General features: G+C 38.3%; 1 long non-coding RNA gene across 2 annotated transcripts in view, besides 1 other annotated feature; it reads right to left on the bottom strand.

Moving 5' to 3' along the window:
• The window catches only part of SOX2-OT (SOX2 overlapping transcript), a 685,549-nt gene extending 678,610 nt beyond the window's left edge, over positions 1-6,939 (bottom strand). For both annotated transcript variants that reach the window (NR_075091.1, NR_075092.1), the window contains exon 1: positions 6,833-6,939. This is a non-coding gene — a long non-coding RNA (SOX2 overlapping transcript). The remainder of the gene's footprint in view (positions 1-6,832) is intronic.
• Positions 5,605-7,768: an enhancer, noted in NCBI's record as "VISTA enhancer hs192". NCBI's record gives its function as "enhancer in: forebrain[6/8]" and the evidence as "EXISTENCE:transgenic organism evidence [ECO:0001131][PMID:17130149]".

Raw genomic sequence — 21,669 nt, 5'->3', positions numbered from 1 at the left:
GGTGAAAGTGAAAACCCTTTTTCAAGCTACATATTTGGGAGATGCCCCTGGACAAGAGAAAGAACCCCAAATATGTCCAAGTTCTGAACTTTTTGGAGATAATAGGAAGCAGGTGCTCATCAGAGGAACTCTTCCATTCTAAGCTGCAGCCCACCCCAACTATCTGGGATACCCTCAAGGTTTCATACTTTCTCTTGCCTCTGCAACTTGCAATGACTGTGTCTTTTCTTTTTCCAGAGTCTTCAAACGTCCCTTCCCTTTCTCTTCTCTCCCACTCCACTTGCCTAACTCCTCTTTGTGATGAACGACTCAGTTCAGATATGGCCCTTTCTAAAATATTTTCCTTTCTTCTCAGCACCCAAATTGGGGATAAAGACCCACCCACTCTATTTCTTTATCAATCCACAATCTCCCCAATATTACCCTATATTGCAATTGCCTGCTTATTGGGTACCCTCCCCCAACCCACTGTAAGTTCCTCATAAGCAGGCACTATGTCTTATTTATTATTAAATGTTTGATAAATTAACAACCAAGAAGAAAGTTGAAATTACCTTAAACTGTAAAGTGTACAGTTGAAACCATACCATATATGTCATTTAGGCAAACTGTTTAACCCATCTTTAGTTAAGGCCATTTGAAAATTAACGAACAACATATCACTCAGCTCTTCACATTATCAGCTCAAATACGGCTTCCATTTGATCATAGGCTAAAAGGTCAAGTACGCCTCATCTTCCCCATTCATACACATAAGGATCTCAATTCCAGACCCTCAAAGAAGTTTACAAGCACCGTTTCCTTTAATTGTTCTTAAAAAGAGCAATTGAGTTTTCACCTATCAAGTTGCCAGAGAGAGAAAAGTTTAATTAAATACATCATGTTAGGATACGAGGAAACAGGCAGCATCATACACAATTGGTAGAAAGATAACTAACAATCTTTAACTAAGTAACTATATTACAAATGCACATGTATTTGCACATCCTAGGAATTTATTAAGAAAATGTACTCCATACATGCAAAATCACAGGTGTACATGGTTGCTCACTGTTGTACTTTTGGGTGATATTTTTATTCTGGTAAAATATATGTAACAAATTTTACCATTTTGACAATTTTTGAATGTAAAGTTCAGTGGCATTAAGTACATTCACATTGTTGTGTAATCATCACCAGTATCCACTTCCAGAACTTTTTCATTTTCTCGAACTCTGTACCCATTAAACACTAACTGCCCTTTCCCCCTTTCCCCTATCCTCTGGTAACCACTTTCTACTTTCTGTCTATAGAGACAGAATTTGCTTATCCTAGGTACTTCATATAAATAGAATCATACAATATTTGTTCATTGTATCTGACAGTTCACTTAGCATGTGTTCAAGACTCATCCATATTGTAACATGTATCGGAATTTCTTTCCTGTCTAAGGTTTAATAATACTTCATTGTATGTATATACCACATTTTGTTGATCCATTCATTTGTTGATGGACATTTAGGCTGTTTCCACCTTTTATCTATTGTGAATAATGCCACTATGAACATTGGTATACGAGATATATCTGTTTTAGTTCCAGCTTGCAATTATTTTGGTTATATACCTAGGAGTGGAATTTCTGAATCATATGGTAATTATATCTTTAACGTTTTGAGAAACCATACTATTTTCACAGTGGCTGTACCATTTTACTTCCTAGCCAGTAATGCACAATGATTCTTGGTGTTTGTTTGTTTGAGATGGAGTTTTGCTCTTGTCGCTCAGGCAGGAGTGCAGTGGTGCGATCTCGGCTCATTTCAACCGCCACCTCCCAGCTTCAAGCGATTCTCCTACCTCAGCCTCCCCAGTAGCTGGGATTACAGGCATGCACCACCACCACCTGGCTAATTTTTATGTTTTTAGTAGACAGGAGGTTTCACCATGTTGGCGAGGCTGGTCTCGAACTCCTGACCTCAAGTGATCCACCCACCTCGACCTCCCAAAGTGCTGGGATTACAGGCATGAGCCACTGCACCCGGTCTGATTCTTGCCTTTTTTTATAAGAGCAAAAGATTGGAAGCAACCTAAACATCTATCAATAGGCAACTGATTAAATGATTTATGGTGCATACTGAAAACAGAATACTATGCAACCATAAAAATAGAACAGGAACACCTTTTGCATAAGAATAAGGAAAGAGTTCCATATATGAAGTGAAAAAACAAGATGCAAATGGGAGGTATGTTATGCTAATATTATGTAAAAGAAAAAATATGTATACATGAGAATTTGTTTAGAAATACATAAAATATCGCTGGAATAATTAATGATAATTAAGAAATTAATCACATTTGTTGCCTCTTCGAAGGCAACAAAGTGCCTTCAAAGGAACTAAGTGGTGAGGGGTCCACGCGAGATAACAAGTTTTCACTGTTTAACCTTTTATACTTTTTGAATTTTAGCATATAATTACATGATCTATTGATGGATTGAATTTGAAAACTAAATAAAACCCATTGAATTTTCTGAGCAAAATACATTTGACCCTTCTTCATACTGAAAGTCCACACCACTTAGAGCAGGTACCTTAGAGGGGGTAAAGAAGAGAGTCTCTTGGTTGCAGCATCTCTCAGAAAGCTCCCTATATTTACTTTACATTTCCTATCCACATCTACTCCCCTCATCCTCCTTATTTCCTAAAACAAGCATTTGGGCCCCAAATCTAACCTGCTCCCTCATGACCCTTCCTCTTTATCTCCACACAGGGGAGGATGAACTCACAGTTGTTTTGCGAAAGCCAGAACCCCGCTCCAAGCCTCTAGCAATAACTTTCCCAAAAAGAGTCAAGACACGAAATGAAAATGTCAATCAAACATGTTGAATATAAAGACCTTTCCTAATATGGTAAAATCACAGCATTAAAGTAAAAGCATGGAAAATATAAAAGTGAATCCATCATCTCATCTTTTAAACCCCTTACGTGTCCATGACCCTATCTCTTTAGCACTCCAGATTGGGAAATGAGGATAATGCCTTTTTCTGTATCTTTGAGTAAACACAGGAAAGCATAGTAGCTCATCATTATAGGGAAGACCACAACAATGGCAGAAGGAACAAAAAGTCAAATGCTTGTATTTCCATTGTGTAACTAGACCAACTAGTTCAACAAATATATATATATTTTTAAGTGATTATTTCCCAGGGTTCTCTTTAGGATAATGCAGCAATATTTCCAATTTGTGTTCCTTGTTGATAACAGGTCCTAAATTAGTTACATATGCTTTGAGTCATTTGCCTTTTTGCATCTTTCTTGAAAATCTACAGTTGATAATCACAAGATTCAAGCTGAGGTAAAATATTGTCAGTATTTTTAAGCACCATTTGGCCAAAAACATTCCTTAAGGACACACACACACACCACCACCACCACCACCACACACACACACACACACACACACACACACACACGCTGGTGAGTCATAGACAGATTGTAGCATCTTATTTTGAGACTTCCCTGCCCACCATAATATTGCCACACATCTGGCCCATCTTCAAAATGGTGACTTGTCGCTGGAGCAGCATTTATTCTACTCTCCAAGGCCGGGTGGCACTAACGCAAAAGTAGTACATCCCTTCCAGCTCCTTACTTCCGCAGAAATGGAAAACATGAAAGGAAATATTGAAATAAAAGCCAATATGGAAAACATGTGTTTTCATAATCTTAAATAAGGCTTTTTATTTTTTCAATGAATTTAATTGGTATGGAAATACTGATGTAGTTATTGGAAAAAGTATAGATTTAAAGATTTTAATGCTATAGCTTAAAGTTTTAATAAAAAGGCAGGTGGTGATAAGAAAAAAATGTAATGAAGTAAAAAATGTGCAATAAAGATTTTATGTAGTGCCCAATAGTGAAAACTTGGCTGTAATCTCTTCAGCTTGTGTTTAGCCAAAATTCGCTCTACATATTTTCATAGCAAGAGTGTTATCTAAATTAACAACAAAAAAAATACAGTTGTTGCTCTTCAGTATTTCTATACTATTCACCTGGAAAATGTGCATTTTAAGGGCTTCTGTTTTCTCCTAAATAAAATAATTTTTAGTTATATCAATAACAAGTGACAAAGTATTCTTTGTATTATAATTCAAGTTAATTCTGTTATTCTTCTAATGCATAATTTTAATTATGAATTGTTCTTTATATGATCAAACCTTGCTTTTAATGGTATGTATAATTTAAAGCATAATTTAAAAATTGATCATAGGTATAAATGTAAATAAATGTGAACCTAAAGTATAATTTATAATTAATTTGACTTTTCTACAGCTACTCAGTTAAATACTTAATATTTTAATAACTACATTGAAAAATCTCATGAATTAAAATATTCCTTTTATAAGAAACCAACTGTTGTTATAATAAGTGTTTTCTTTAGAATAATGATCATAGAATCAAAAGCATTAGCTAGCACCAAGCATTGACAATGAAATGAGAGAAACACGTATGTTTGTTTCTGTGATGATGTGGGTGTAGTTTATTCGTTATTAGAAAACAGTATCAAAACATTCCCCAGAATCACTAATTTGAACTCACTGTTATAACTCTAACTGTCTGGTAAGCAAAAGTTTCTGGGCCTTTTGAAATAATAATAAATATGTAAATTGTCATTTCAAACATAGATTCTGCAGATCAGTGGTTTTCCTCAAAGAAAAAAAATGCCAAAGTCAATCCAAGCCTATTGTTGAATAATAATTTAATCAGATATCTGATTTCAGATATACTAAAAATAATGTTTTCAAAAGTAAGGTGATCCTCTTTTGTTTTAGTGTAGCTAAATGAAAAGCTGTGGAAGAGCAACATGAAAAAATGTGTAGCAAGAGTCGGTTTAAATATGTATTACCAAATCATGTTTCTTGTTTTTCACTGGAAGCAAACAACTTCAGAAATAATTCAACAGAGTTAATTTATCCTTTAGTTCTAACCCTTCACACATACTCCCTCAAATGAACAAAGGCTTGGTCAACTGCATGCTAACTACTTTAAAATATAAATCTATATCCAAGACAACTGTATATCGGATATTGCAAACAAAAATAAATCTCAGTATGGAAAATTTCAATAATAAGCTGTGGAATTTGACGGATTATTGTTACATTAATGTAATTTTAATTGTTTTTTGTTTTGTTCTTTACTTGCTTTTTTTGGTTTAGTTGGTTTGCTGTTATTTTTCTTGCCAGAGCAATAGTATTTAATCACTATGTTCTCCCTCTCACAGGAAAAATATCTGATCAGTGAAACAACCTCCCTCCCAGAAAAGTATCAGCATATTTTTATTTCCATTAGCAATGTAATACATTACAATTTATGTAGTATTAGAGATTATATTTCACATGAAAATACAAAATATATACATATTCTACATTTTTATCTATAATATACACTTAATCCTAGACATGAAAATCCAATTTAAACATTTTTAAAACTCAATGATAATTATAGAACTGTTAGGAAGGGCAAGTTGACATGAAGACTGATACCTTTGGTGGAATATTTCTCTATAAATCAGCCCAGAACATTTTAATTTATTAATCATCAAAATATTTTTTCTTTCATTAAAAAATTCTCAATTCTGACATCCTTTAGTGCTTTATGTGTAAGCTTTAATATATTTAATATTAGTAACTAAGATATTTGCCTATTTCCTTAAGAAAGCTAAGATTAAATACTTGTGTAAGTACATTTCTTGTTAAACACAGTACTAAACATAATCTTTATATTAATAAAGGGAAAGGTGAATAGTATATTAAGACCCAATTGAAAGTTTTCTTCCCTTCAATAGAGAATGTTGCTTGACAAAGTTACTTATTAAAAGAGGGAGAAATCTCAAAAGATGGAAAATTTTAAGCTTTATTGCTAACATTCAATTATTGCCCTAACCACTTTTTGAGGAGTGCAAACTATTAATTTACAAATATTAAGCCTTTCCCAGTGGCAAGCTTCCAAAATGCACAGGATGTCTATGATTCTATTCAAAATCACAACCCATGGCACATTAAGTACAGTAAATATACAAACTAAAAGCCAACTGAATTCCGATGTTGTTTCAATCCAATCAATTATTTTCATAAACAAATACAAATTTCACCTGCAAATGGGAAAAGTTCTTATGTGCATATAAGACACTCAACAGGCAAAGTTCCTCAAAGTAATTCCAATAATTTCAGTAATGTCAAAATCTGAAATGGAAAGGTAAAGTTATAGAGTAGAGAAATTTCATTCTTATTATTTTCCGATTTTTCTGTGTAAGCAGCAAACCCTAAGAGGATCAACCATATTTTATGTCATCAGCATTTTATAAGTGCCATATTTAAGTACTTCCCTGAAAATGCCATGAGTATGTATAAAGATGAAAGGCTTATGAATATAAATAAAGCTAAGTCTCCAACTGCAAACCTTATCATTTTCTAAAATGCATTTTGTTAGAAATAGCTAAGGATACTTGAATTTTGCTTTCTGGGTTCATACTTATAAGGTACAAATACCAAAATATGCATTAAAGAATTTATCATAAAGTAAGCGAAAAAGAGAAAAATCAATAAGTAGCCCCAATTCAAAATAACAAAAGGTCACCCAAAGCACAGCAATACGTCTGGCAATATCATACATGATGGCTTCAAATCTAAAAACAAAGTCATTGATATTAACCTTGGTTATTGACTAATAAGAAAGCTATTAAAGTCAGGTTAGTGTACCAACAAGGAAGCCCAAACTTTCAAGACTGTTGTCTGACTGCCCTTGAGGGTTCACCTTTATCTCCCCTGAAAAATGCCAATATAAAAATTCTAAAATACCTTCATAAGCCCCAAGGAAAGCCTGTGGACAGACAGATGATGTGATATATTTCTTCCTTTCCATTCTTGGGCAGCTTCTTCTCTCTGCGGCTGAAAGCAAATGCATTGAGACTCAGTCGCATATTTAATTAGAAGCAAGCTGCTTGCACTATCACTGTGTGAATCTACCTCTCCAATCTCTCGTGAGTCAATCTTTCCCATCTCTGATTTTCTTTTATATTTATGCTAGAATATTTAATTGTAGACAAAAGGTTACTCTGGCTGTATTCACTGCACAGAGGCAGAATAATCTGCTTTAAAAGGCTTGACATTTCAGGCTTTTCAAAAAGGCTGAAAAAATTATATCCCTGCTTTTGTTAATCAATGAAGTAGAACTCTCCTGAACAAAAGAATTAAATTGCTTGGTTGGTTTAATAAAACCAACAGAAATAGCTGCTTCCTCTGGGCTTTATTGTGTAGGCATGGCACACGCACCCAGCACTGTAATTCCATATGATTCAGGGGCAAAACTCTAATTTCTGCACACAGTTGGGTTTTTAAATCCTATTCAGACCCTATCCATTCTGGCTGGTTCTCTAAGGCCAGATTTATCATTAAACTTGACTCTTTTTCTGAAGTGCAGCAGCCATACAGCAATTTTATTTTTGTTCCTCTGCTTGTTACCCCCCCAAAAAATGTTCATTAAAAGTGTATTAATCTAAATATTACCTTTTTCATTTTATTTAGCCTAGAGCTAATAGTTTTACACATTTTCCCAGCTATTTAATTGAAAAAAAAAAGGATCTGAGGGAATGAACAAGCGCTAAGAACTTTGCTGTGAACATGCAAAATAGTAGTTTAAAAAAACACCCCAAGATCAAGTCAGAAAACAACATTTTGTTAAATTCTTATTTTCAGCCTAGGCTTACTAGTAATAAGGAATGTATTTTTGGCAAAAGACTGGACAACTTCTAAAAAGATAACTGGGAGGATTAAAAAAGACAATAGAGACACTTCTCTTTTCTAGTCTTAAGGTATCTCACAATTTTACTGAGAACCCAGAATTTTAAAAATCAAGGGAGATGGCCCTTAGTCAAATGCTTTCATCTGGGTTCTTTTGCTCTGTTTATGTTCCCAGACAACCAGACTTATAAAGGGGTATGTTCTTCCATGCTTCTACATAGAGGCAGCTACCATTTCAGGTCCCTAATGACACAGTCTCTTCCCCTTGTACCCATAATGTTGCAACTTGCAGAGATAGCTAGGGTCTGGCCGGGAGCACTGGTTAGACCAACCATTACTACCCGAGCTTAAGCTTTTTATACGGTTATAGCTATAGAGGATATTTTCCAGAGAAAATAATGGAAGTGAGAGCCAACAAAATACATTACACCAGACAAATTATCTATTGCTGTTTCCTAACTCATAGAGTCATAGGGCCAGAAGGACCTATGGAGATCATTTAATCCAATAGCCTAACAGTTGAGTCAATCCCCTGTGGAGATAATAAATGGATAGAACAGTATCTGGTTATAGTAAGTGTTCAATAAATGGTAACTATCATTGTTTTTCAAGAAAGAGATTTCTCCTCTAATCCATCTCACATTGGCAGCGATTCACAATGGCCAGGCTCATTACCAATTGGTAGACAAGCCACTAGCTCAGCTGGGAGCACTGTATCCTGAAGGGTTTTTCTAACAAAAATATACATCATTGTAACCATGAAAAATATATTTCCTATCTCTGACTCGTATTTATAAAAACTGCATTTCCCCTGTGCCTATCACAACAAACGAGGATTTAAGTTAAGTTACATGAGGGTAGCAACTTCTTTTGTGAAAATTCTTTCTCTATTTGGTTTAAGAAACTGATTCCAAATGTTTTTGTGCATAGAAGCCTTTTCTAGTCTCCATTCAGTATCAAGGCCTTATAAGAACACTGAGGAAGAACAAAAAGAGAGTTTTCTCTGTTGAAATCCCTGTGCTGGCAGCATGTGTGACCTGGCCTACACAAGCATTGGCCAAGATACTGAAATCTGGAATAAATTCCAAGGGTCAAGGTTAAGGCAGCATAGGACAAAGGAATGCCAGAGGAAAATCCAATAGTAGGTGGAGCTAAAGTTAAACATCCAGGGAACCAAGTTCAAAGGACTGCAAACAGGATCAGAATTAAGGTAGCCAAGTCTAAAGTTTTGAGACACAGAGGTAAATCAGAGTAATAATACAGAAAACAAGAAGAAAGGAGTGGGATGATTAGGCAGGAGAATCCATTTATCAGTAGCTTTACTCACAGTCAGTCTGATGGTTGAGCACATGCATGTGCCAGACTGGATTGAAGGGCAAGGAACAGAGTGGGAACACAAAGTATTGTTCCTGAGAGGGCCATGCCAACTAGGCTATCTTCCATCCTAAATCATATGGGTCTAAGGTATGGTGGGGTCTCAGCAACATGAATCCAGAAAGAGGGAAGTAGAAGCCAAACCTAGACAGAATGCAGAATGATGTGTTTCAGAGGTTAGCTCAGAGGGGCCATCAGGAGGACCAATGGGCAACATCCAAAACACTAAGAGGGCTCTGGAGTTTTTATCAGGGGTGTCCATTCCAATCAGTGTGGAATGGTAGCATGAGACCAAGTCAAGCAAAACGTCAATTCCCAACCCACAGCAGACCAGAGATCTGAACTGCATTCCACTAATCAAAGACCTGGAGTGCTCAATACGAAGACCAATGGAGGCCTTCTTGAAGAATAGACTGGCTTGTGGAGAGCAGGGAATGCCTCTGTGACTGATTGCCTCAATAGGAGGGTGGGTTGACATTGCTAACAGGACAAAGCATAGACTCTTAGCATTTGATGGTTTAACTCTCAACTTTTAGTATTTCTGAGACACATGCACCTCAAAGTTAAACGTTAAACAGGGTAATATATGTAAAGTGCCTAGTCCCTGAATGAGATAACTTTCCCTGCTAACACCTGGGAGGTTACTCAGTGGTAAAAGCCTCTGGTTTGTCCCAATTGGTATCATCACTTTGGGCAATTACAATGTTAAGCAAGTATACTGATAGTTTTTGAAAACACACTGGAGATAGGTCTTTTCCTGCGAAGTGAGCTCTGAAGTCAAATTTCAAGCCCTGTGAATGGTTTGTAATTTTTCAGAAATCTTCCAGACAGGTCAAATAGCGACAATTCACTAAGGATAGAGCTTTTAGCCCTGGCGCTCCAAACCTGGTCTATTCCCTCCAGTGGCTGCTAGGCTACTGGTTTTTACAAATACTGAGACTACGAAGCTTCTGGTTTGCAAGGTTACCATGGAGCTGGCAAGAGGGGGATGGGAATAGGACAAATGCCACAAAACTCACTCTTCTTACCAAGATTTAGGAGCCCCCCTTTTTTTTCAGTGAACACCCCTCAAATTGTTGCAAACATTTGGTTAATTTCTAGAGTTCTGAAAAAGTTTATTTTGGCAATATTTGCCAGTGTAGTCATTGCTTTTATGGAAAAGTGAATATTCAGATGTCTTTATTCCACTATTCTAAAAGTCAGCGCAGCCACTCTGGAAAACAGTTTGGCATTTCTTCAAAATGTTAAACATAAGATTATCACAAGACTGATAAATTACACTCCAATGTATATACCCAACAGAAAACAAAACATAGTCTATACAAAAACATGTACATAGGCCAGGTGTGGTGGTTCACACCTGTAATCCCAGCACTTTGGGAGGCCAAGGCTAGTGGCTCACTTGAGCTCAGGAGTTCAAGACCAGCCTGGGCAACATGGTAAAATCCTGTCTCTACAAAAAAAATACAAAAATTAGCCAGACCTTGTGGCATAGGCCTGTAGTCCCAGCTACTTGTGGGGCTGAGGTGGGAGGATGGCTTGAGTCCAGAAAGTGGAGGTTGTAGTGAGCCAAGATCACTCCAGCCTGGGTGACAGAGTGAGACTCAGTCTCAAAAAAAAAAAAGAGTGCATAAATGTTCATAGCAACAGTATTAATAAAAGCCAAAAATAGAAATAATCAAAATGTTCCTTAATTAATGAACCGGTTTAAAAAACTGTGATATATCTGTAAGAGTTAAAGAAAAAGGAAACAAACACACAAAAAAGTGGTTCAACTGTCAAAGACAGGTTTATTTGGGATACTTATAAACCTGTATAAGACCTGAGAGGGTCTTCTGGCTGATTTCAGTCAGGAGTACTCCCTCTTACAGACTAAGAGTATTTATTGGTTTTAGGTTGAGAGACCTTATCACAGGCTTGGAATGTTTCTGTGCAGGGGAGAAGCCTATTGCAGAGTTGGAATGTCTCTGGTTGGAGGGGAAGTAATCTTGGGGCTGACATCCCTCCAGCTGGAGGGGAAGTTATCTCAGGACTGCATGTCTCTGGTCGGGGAGGGGTTTATCTTATGGTTGGAATGTTTCTGGTAGGAGATGTCATTTGTGGTTTACAGTCATGCTGACCTTACCCATTAGGCTGAAGCCCTTTGGATTTAGGTGGTTTTTGATCAAGGGGAACTTTAGAATGGCGGTGCTTGTCCAAGATGGCAATGCTCCTGCTCTGTCAACATACATACCAGTGAAATATTATTCACCAATAAAAAGAAAGGAAGTATCCATACATACTTCGACATGGATGATCCTTGAAAACATTATGCTAAATAAGTGAAAGAAGCCAGTGAGGACTAAGCTCTAATTTTTGATTTTGCCCAAATTCCTATCTAAGGGGTCTAGGGAGTCATGCCCTACAAACCATAAATTCTCATCAGATGGGTTTTATTTAACCCTATATATTGTGACTTACTTTTCAATCTGACTCTGGCATAACATCATGAGACAAGGAAAAAAATATTTAACCCCAAATATATTTCCTTGACATACCTTGAATTGCCCTGCAAAGTCTTTTGTGGGAAAAACCCACATTCTACAGAGAATGTGTTTCCCTTCCTTTCTTTCCAGATCCAGGAGATAATCAACTAAGTACCAGGCACCCTTTTAGGTCTGATAAAAAAACATTTCATAACCTGCTCTCTCTCTCTGAAGTCGGCTATCTGAGAGATTCCCCTGTAAAATAAAACTTGGTCTCCACATCCTTTATCTTAAGCTGAACATTTCCTTTCCATTGATCCCAGGTCTTCAGATAAACTCAGCCAATTGTCAACCAGAAAATGTTTAAATTTACCTATAGTCTGGAAGCCCCCACTTTTGTTGTCCCACCTTTCTGAACCAAACCAATGTATTTCTTAAATGTATTTGATTGATGTCTCATGCCTCCCTAAAATATATAAAACCAATCTGTACTCTGACCACTTTGGGCACATGTTCTCAGGACCTCCTGAGGTTTATGTCACGGGCCATGGTCACTCATATTTAGCTCAGAATAAATCTCTTAAAATATTTTACAGAGTTTGACTCTTTTTGTGAACACCAGTCACAACTGCATTTTTGTATGATTCCATTCCTATGAAAGGTTCACAATAGGTAAATTTATACAGAGAGAAAGTAAATTAATGGTTGCCTAGGGTTGGGGAAGGTGGGGAAATGGGAAGGGTGTTGGCTAAGGGGTACAGGGCTTTTTGAGGGGTGATGAAAATGTTCTGGAACTTATAGTGGTGAAGGTTGCAGAAATCTGTGGCTATACTAAAACCCACTGAATTCTACCCTTTAAAAGGATGAATTTTGGGCTAGTTAAATTATATCTCAATAAAACACTCACTTAAAAAAAATCTGCCTTTTTCCCTTATGTCTAGGTGTTTTGCAGAATTCAAGTTCCCTTTGTTTTCCACTCAAAGCACTAGCTCTGAGGAAACCTGGGGGATCCTAGCTTCACCTCCTTCCTCTCAAGCCATTGGCTGGTGCCTGTTCCCTGCTCCCTCCTCTCACACAAAGCAAAAAGCCTCCAGCTGCTGGGAGAGGAGCAAGAAATCCTCCCACCCTCCCTCCAGGCCCAGGCAAAGAACCGTTTTACAGGGCAAGCAGCAAGAATATTAAAGAAATAATGGCCCCAACAAACAAACAACAACAACAACAACAAAAAGAAATAATGGCCCAAAACTTCCCAATTTGATGGAAAAAATTAATGAAAAACAACCAGTGTCCTATCCTGACTCTAATCTTTCCCAGGATACCAAAAGGAGGCTTGTGAAAAAGAGTTCACAGGTAAATGTGATCCCCTCTTGCATCTGGAACTCCCTATCATTTCAAATTGTTAGCTCAGTCAGCCTTTAAAAAATTAGTAAAATTTTAGCTGTTGTTTTACCTGCTTTTTTTTTGGCGGGGGGAACTTTTTTGACAGCCAAAAATCCTTTTCCTCTCAAGCTCTGCCAAACGTAGACCAATTTCTGTGTCCCACCTCTCCTCAGAAGGGCTTTTAACTCTTGCTTTATAATGTCAGTTCTTTGATGGACTCAAGAAAAGTTATGACTTAGAAATTGTTCTGTTTTCTGCTCATAGTTAGGCATGGTTAGGCATGTTCATCTCTACATCCTAAGCAGAAGTTCAGTCAATATATTTTGTTATTTCCAACATTGTATTTTTCATGTGTAGAAATTTCATTTAGGTCTTTCTATATCTTCAGTGTCTCTCTTCATCATATATCCTTGAGTATATTTGTAGGATTTATAATAGCTACTTCTGGTCCTTATCTACCATTTTCACCATTTCTGGATACATCCCCATCAGTTGATTTTTCTCCTATTTATGGATCCTTTTTTCTGCCTATTTCTATACCTAATAAATTATCATTCAATGTCAGACATTGTGATTTTTTAAAGTTTTAATATGTACAATTTTGTAGAGGGCTAGATTCTGTTGTTTACCTTTAAAAAGTGTTAGTTTTTTTTCAGGGACACAGTTAATTAACGATAATCCTTTTGAGGCTTTCCTTTTTTTTTTTTTTTTTTTTTTGAGACAGTCTCACTCTGTCACCCAGGCTGGAATCTCAGCTCACTGCAACCTCCGCCACCTGGGTTCAAGCAATTCTCCTGCTTCAGCCTCCTGAGTAGCTGGGATTACAGGCATGTGCCACCATGCCCAGCTAATTTTTGTATTTTTAGTAGAGACAGGGTTTCACCATGTTGGCCAGGCTGGTCTCGAACTCCTGACCTCAGGTGACCTCCGTCTGCTTCGGCCTCCCAAAGTGCTGGGATTACAGGCATGAGCCACTGTGCCCAGCCCTGAGATTGTCTTTTATGCTGTTACAGATGATTCAGATAAGCCTTGACTGTAAAACTAATTTAGTCTGAATGTTAAGTCATGACACTTCTGAGGACTCACCATGTGTATTAGGAGTTGTCTTCACTCAGACTAGTAGAACATAAACTATTCTCAGCCTTTTGTGAACTAACCCAATTGTTTGGCCTATTGCTTTCTGATTCCTCTTCCCTAGCCTCAGGAAGTTTCCTGTCATACATGCACCTATTCATACTCGTCAAAGACCTGAGGAGAGCCCTGTGCAAATGTCTGGAGCTCTCTTAGTTGCAGCTCCCCTTTCTGTAAACTCTGCCCCGCAAATTCTAGCTGCCAAGGTTTTCCTGATCTATCACTTCAATGCAAGAAGACCACAAGGCTCAGCTTCAGTTTTTGCTCCCTGCGCTGTGGAAACTACCTCCAGGAAGACAATTGGTGTCATCAGCCAGGTGCAGTGGCTCACGCCTGTAATCCCAGCACTTTGGGAGGCTGAAGTGGGCGGATCACCTGAGGCCAGGAGATCTAGACCAGCCTGGCCAACATGGTGAAACCCGTCTCTACTAAAAGTAAAAAAAATTAGCCGGGCTTGGTGGCACATGCCTTTAATCCCAGCTACTCAAGAGGCTGAAGCAGGAGAATCGCTTGAACTCGGGAGGCGGAGGTTGCAGTGAGCTGAGATCATGCCATTGCACTCTAGCCTGGGAGACAAGAGCAAGGCTTCATCTCAAAAAAAAAAAAGAAAATTGGTGTCATCACAATCCTTGTCTCATTTCTTTCCCTTCTGTTAGGGATCATGGTCCTATGCTATTTGTTGTACAGTCTCTGAATATAGTTGCTTGACTGTCTATTTACTTATGATAGGAAAGTAATTCCCATAGCAGTAAATTATCGTGGGAGAAAGCAAAAGTCTTAATATTTTTTATTAGTATTATTTTTTATTGACAAATTATAATTGTATACATTTATGGGGTATAATGTGATATCTTGATATATGTATACAGTGTGAAATGGTTCTTAGTATATTTTGAATAGCAAGTCAGCCTTCACATTTGGTGGTCTGCATTTATCTGGAGAAAAATCAAAGACAAAGGTAGTGATGTTAAGCTACTTTTTTGACCTCAATCTTTAGAGCCAAGTCTATGTGGAATGCAAACATCCAGAAGCTCTACTCGAGGCTGATGTCCTTAGTTTCTTCCTCCAACCCTCAAAAACAGCTCCTTAGCTCAGATAATTGCTTCCAGCTCTACCCCTTCTGTCTAGTGTTCCAAACTCTCATAATTCTAATTTAACATCTCCAGTTCTTATCCTGTGCCACATTCCTAGTCTCTACTTCTCACATCAGCTCTTTCAAGCTGATATAGCATTTGACCTATTCTATTAGCCTGAGTTCTTTTCTTACCTCTTGTACGAGATAGCATGCATTACATTGCAAGTCACATAGAATCCAACTCAAATTAGCTTTCATACACTTAGGGTTTATTGCTCATGTACTAGAAATCTGGTGGTAGGTCAGGATTCTGAGTTACTTGATTCAGTGGCTAAAAGCAAATGCCGTTTCTCAGTCTTTCTTGGCTTTTCCTTGCATGATATCAGCTTTATCCTAAGGCCAACTTCACTAATGGTAGCAATATGACTACTGTGACTACTATCGTTACTATTGCTAATATGGCTACAGAACTTCCAGGATGCTTATCTAAACAAAATGACCCAGAAGATGAGAAAGATAAAGAGATTCTTTTTTTTTTTAAGAAATGAGGTTTCACTCTGTCACCCAAGATGGAGTTCAGTGCACAATCATAGCTCATTGCAGCCTCAAACTCCTGGGCTCAAGGGATCCTCCCACCTTAGCCTCCCCAGTAGCTAGGACTACAGGCACATGCCACCACACCCAGCCAATTTTTTTTTTAATTTTCGGTAGAGATGAGGTCTTGCTATGTTGCCCAGGCCAGTCTAGAACTCCTGGGCTAAGCAATCCACCTGCCTCAGCCTCCCAAAGTGCTAGGATTACAGGCATCAGCCATGACACCTGGCCAAGAGACTATTTCTTAGATATTGCCAGAAAACATCTTTTGCAGTGCTTTTGTCCCATTCCTTAGCCTATGTATCACCTCTAAACCTACACCTTGGCGAGGTGATGAGATTGCATTGCTGCATATGCAGATCCGTTCCTAGTGTCAGGGGTGAAGTCAAGTATCCACAAACACACGGGCTGAGTCAAAAAGGAGTAGATACTCAAGTGAAAATCAGGTAGTGACCAAGAGAAAAAGGAATGAATGTTGAGGAAGCAACATTTGGAAACATTTATTTGGATAATATTTGGGAAAATAGCTTCTTCTAAGGTCTGAGGAGGGGAAAATACAAGAGAAGCCTGGAACTCTTGTAATGCCAGATGACATGCCAGGAATATGTTAAAAGACACAAAAGCCCACCTGAAAGAACTACAAATGGCCAAAACTGGAACAATTTGAGCAATAAATAAAATAGTAGTGGATTGTAACCCAAAGTATAAAATAAATATGTATGGATCAATACTTACATAAATATATTACTAAATAAATGGGAGTGAAGGGATACATTTTCTTCACAGAAGAATTCCAAACAATATATGTAGATAGTTCTTCTTCAAGAAGTGGAGCTTAATTTAAGTCCTCTGGAGTCTAGACTAAACTTAGTGTATAGCTTCCAAAGAATAAAGAAAGAAAAGGGGAAGATCATGGAGATCGTTCCGAGATGGCCGAATAGGAACAGCTCCAGTCTACAGCTCCCAGCATCAGCGACGCAGAAGACAGGTGATTTCTGCATTTCCAACTGAGGTACTGGGTTCATCTCATTGGGACTTGTTGGACAGTGGGTGCAGCCCACAGAGTGTGAGCCAAAGCAGGGTGGGGCATCGCCTCAACCGAGAAGTGCAAGGGGTTGGGGAATTCCCTTTCCTAGACAAGGGAAGCCGTGACAGACGGTACCTGGAAAATCAGGACACTCCCACCCTAATACTGCACTTTTCCAACATTCTTAGCAAACGGCACACCAGGAGATTATATCCCGCACATGGCTCAGCGGGTCCCACACCCATGGAGCCTTGCTCACTGCTAGCACAGCAGTCCGAGATCAAACTGCGAGGTGGCAGCAAGGCTGGGGGAGGGGCATCTGCCATTGCTGAGGCTTGAGTAGGTAAACAAAGCGGCTGGGAAGCTCGAACTGGGTGGAGCCTGCTGCAGCTCAAGGAGGCCTGCCTGCCTTTGTAGACTCCACCTCTGGGGGGAAGGGCATAGCTGAACAAAAGGCAGCAGAAACTTCTGCAGACTTAAATGCCCCTATCTGACAGGTTTGAAGAGAGCAATTGTTCTCACAGCATGGAGTTTGAGATCTGACAATGGACAGACTGCCTCTCAAGTGGGTCCCTGACCCCCGAGTAGCCTAACTGAGAGACATCTCCCTGTAGGGGCTGACTGACACCTCATAGAGCAGGGTACCCCTCTGAGACGAAGCTTCCAGAGGAAGGATCAGGCAGCAACATTTACTGTTCTGCAATATTTGCTGTTCTGCAGCCTCCGCTGGTGACACCCAGGCAAACAGGGTCTGGAGTGGACCTCTAGCAAACTCCAACAGACCTGCAGCTGAGGGTCCTGACTGTTAGAAGGAAAACTAACAAACAGAAAGGAATAGCATCAACATCAGCAAAAAGAACATCCACACCAAAACTCCATCTATAGGTCACCATCATCAAAGACCAAAGGTAGATAAAACCACAAAGATGGGGAGAACCCAGAGCAGAAAAGCTGAAAATTCTAAAAATCAGAGCACCTCTTCTCCTCCAAAGGATTGCAGCTCCTCGCCAGCAACGGAACAATGTTGGATGAAGAATGACTTTGACGAGATGACAGAAGTAGGCTTCAGAAAATCGGTAATAACAAACTTCTCAGAGCTGAAGGAGAATGTTCAAACCCATCTCGAAGAAGCTAAAAACCTTGAAAAAAGATTAGATGAAGGGCTAACTAAAATAAACAGCATAGAGAAGACCTTAAATGGCCTGATGGAGCTGAAAACCATGGCACAAGAACTACATGATGCATGAACAAGCTTCAGTAGCCGATTCGATCAAGTGGAACAAGAGTATCAGTGATTGAAGATCAAATGAATGAAATGAAGTGAGAAGAGAAGTTTAGAGAAAAAGGAATAAGAAGAAATGAACAAAGCCTCCAAGAAATATGGGACTATGTGAAAAGACCAAATTTACATTTCATTGGTATACCTGAAAGTAACGGGGAGAATGGAACCAAGTTGGAAAACACTCTTCAGGATATTGTCCAGGAGAACTTCCCCAACCTAGCAGGGCAGGCTAACATTCAAATTCAGGAAATACAGAAAATGTCACAAACTACTCCTTGAGAAGAGCAACCCCAAGACACATAATTGTCAGATTCACCAAGGTTGAAATGAAGGAAAAAATACTAAGGGCAGCCAGAGAGAAAGGTCAGCTTACCCACAAAGGGAAGCCCATCAGACTAACTGCAGATGTCTCAGCAGAAACTCTACAAACCAGAAGAGAGTGGGGGCCAATAATCAACATTCTTAAAGAAAAGAATTTTCAACCCAGAATTTCATATCCAGCCAAACTAAGCTTCATAAGTGAAGGAGAAATAAAATCCTTTACAGACAAGCAAATGCTGAGAGATTTTGTCACCACCAGGCTTGCCTTACAAGAGCTCCCGAAGGATGCACTAAACATGAAAAGGAACAACCGGTACCAGCCACTGCAAAAACATGCCAAATTGTAAAGACCATCAATTTTGGGAAGAAACTGCATCAACTAATGAGCAAAATAACCAGGTAACATCATAATGACAGGATCAAATTTACACATAACATATTAACCTTAAATGTAAATGGGCTAAATGCCCCAATTAAAAGACACAGACTGGCAAACTGGATAAAGAGTAAAGACCCATCAGTGTGCCATATTCAGGAGACCAATCTCACTTGCAGAGACACATAGGCTCAAAATAAATGGATGGAGGAAGATCTACCAAGCAAATGGAAAACAAAAAAAAAGCAGGAGTTGCAATCCTAGTCTCTTACAAAAATAAATTTCTACAGTTAAAAAAAAAATGGACTTTAAACCAACAAAGATCAAAAGAGACAAAGAAGGCCATTACATAATGGTAAAGGGATCAATTCAACAAGAAGAGCTAACTATCCTAAATATATATGCACCCAATACAGCAGCACCCAGATTCATAAAGCAAGTCCTTAAAGACCTACAAAGAGACTTACACTCCCATACAAAAATAATGGGAGACTTTAACACCTGACTGTCAACATTAGACAGATCAATGAGACAGAAAGTTAACAAGGATATCCAGGACCTGAACTCAGCCTAATATACATCTACAGAACTCTCCACCCCAAATCAACAGAATATACATTCTTCTCAGCACCACATCGCACTTATTCCAAAATTGACTACATAGTTGGAAGTAAAGAACTCCTCAGCAAATGTAAAAGAACAGAAATTATAACAAACTGTCTTTCAAACCACAGTGCAATCAAATTACAACTGAGGATTAAGAAACTCACTCAAAACCGCTCAACTACATGGAAACTGAACAACCTGCTCCTGAATGACTACCTGGTACATAATGAAATGAAGGCAGAAATAAAGATGTTCTTTGAAACCAATGAGAACAAAGACATAACATACCAGAATCTCTGGGACACATTTAAAGCAGTGTGTAGAGGGAAATTTATAGCATTAAATGCCCACAGGAGAAAGCAGGAAAGATCTAAAATTGACACCCTAACATCACAATTAAAAGAACTAGAGAAGCAAGAGCAAACACATTCAAAAGCTAGCAGAAGGCAAGAAATAGCTAAGATCAAAGCAGAACTGAAGGAGATAGAGACATGAAAAACCCTTCCAAAAATCAATGAATCCAGGAGCTGGTTTTTTGAAAAGATCAACATAATAAGTAGACTGTTGGCCAGACTAATAAAGAAGAAAAGAGAGAAGAATCAAAGAGACACAATAAAAAATGATAAAGGGGATATCACCACCGATCCCATGGAAATACAAACTACCATCAGAGAATACTATAAACACCTCTATGCAAATAAACTAGAAAATCTAGAAGAAATGGATAAATTCCTGGACACATACACCCTCCCAAGACTAAACCAGGAAAGATGTGGATCCCTGAATAGACCAATAATCGGCTCTGAAATTGAGGCAATAATTAATAGCCTAACAGCGAAAAAAGTCCAGGACCAGACAGATTCACAGCTGAATTCTACCAGAGGTACAAAGAGGAGCTGGTACCATTCCTTCTGAAACTATTCCAATCAATGGAAAAAGATGGAATCCTCCCTAACTCATTTTATGAGGCCAGCATCTTCCCCAGAGACACAACAAAAAAAGAGAATTTTAGACCAATATCCCTGATGAACATCGATGCAAAAATCCTCAATAAAATACTGGCAAACCAAATCCAGCAGCACATCAAAAAGCATATCCACCATAATTAAGTTGGCTTCATCCCTGGGATCCAAGGCTGATTCAACATACACAAATCAATAAACGTAATCCAGCATATAAACAGAACCAATGACAAAAACCACATGATTATCTCAATAGATGCAGAAAAGGCCTTCAACAAAATTCAACAGTGCTTCATGCTAAAAACTCTCAATAAACTAGGTATTGATGGGACGTATCTCAAAATAATAAGAGCTATTTATGACAAACCCACAGCAAATATCATACTGAATGGGCAAAAACTGGAAGCATTCCCTTTGAAAACGCCACAAGACAGGGATGCCCTCTCTCACCACTCCTATTCAACACAGTGTTGGAAGCTCTGGCCTGAGCAATCAGGCAGGAGAAAGAAATAAAGGGTATTCAATTAGGAAAAGAGGAAGTCAAATTGTTTCTGTTTGCAGATGACATGATTGTAGATTTAGAAAACCCCATTGTCTCAGCTCAAAATCTCCTTAAGCTGATAAGCAACCTCAGCAAAGTCACAGGATACAAAATTAATGTGCAAAAATCACAAGCATTCCTATACACCAATAACAGATGAACACAGAGCCAAATCATGAATGAACTCCCATTCACAATTGCTTTAAAGAGAATAAAATACCTAGGAATCCAACTTACAAGGGATGTGAAGGACCTCTTCAAGGAGAAATATAAACCACTGCTCAACGAAATAAAAGAGGACACAAACAAATAAAAGAACACTCCACGCTCATAGATAGGAAGAATCAATATCGTGAAAATGGCCATACTGCCCAAGGTAATTTATAGATTTAATGCCATCCCCATCAAGCTACCAATGACTTTCTTCACAGAATTTGAAAAAATTACTAAAGTTCATATGGAACCAAAAAAGAGCCCACATTGCCAAGACAATCCTAAGCAAAAAGAACAAAGCTGGAGGCATCATGCTACCTGACTTCAAACTATACTACAAGGCTACAGTAACCAAAACAGCGTGGTACTGGTACCAAAACAGACATATAGACCAATGGAACAGAACAGAGCCCTCAGAAATAATACCACACATCTACAACCATCTGATCTTTGACAAACCTGACAAAAACAAGAAATGGGGAAAGGATTCCCTATTTAATAAATGGTGCTGGGAAAACTGACTAGCCATATGTAGAAAGCTGAAACTG

The sequence above is a fragment of the Homo sapiens genome, chromosome 3 (genome assembly GCF_000001405.40).
Source record: "Homo sapiens chromosome 3, GRCh38.p14 Primary Assembly".
Taxonomy (NCBI): Eukaryota; Metazoa; Chordata; class Mammalia; order Primates; family Hominidae; genus Homo; species Homo sapiens.
Note: the sequence above shows the minus strand (reverse complement) of the source record. Positions and strands in the feature narration are given on the sequence as shown.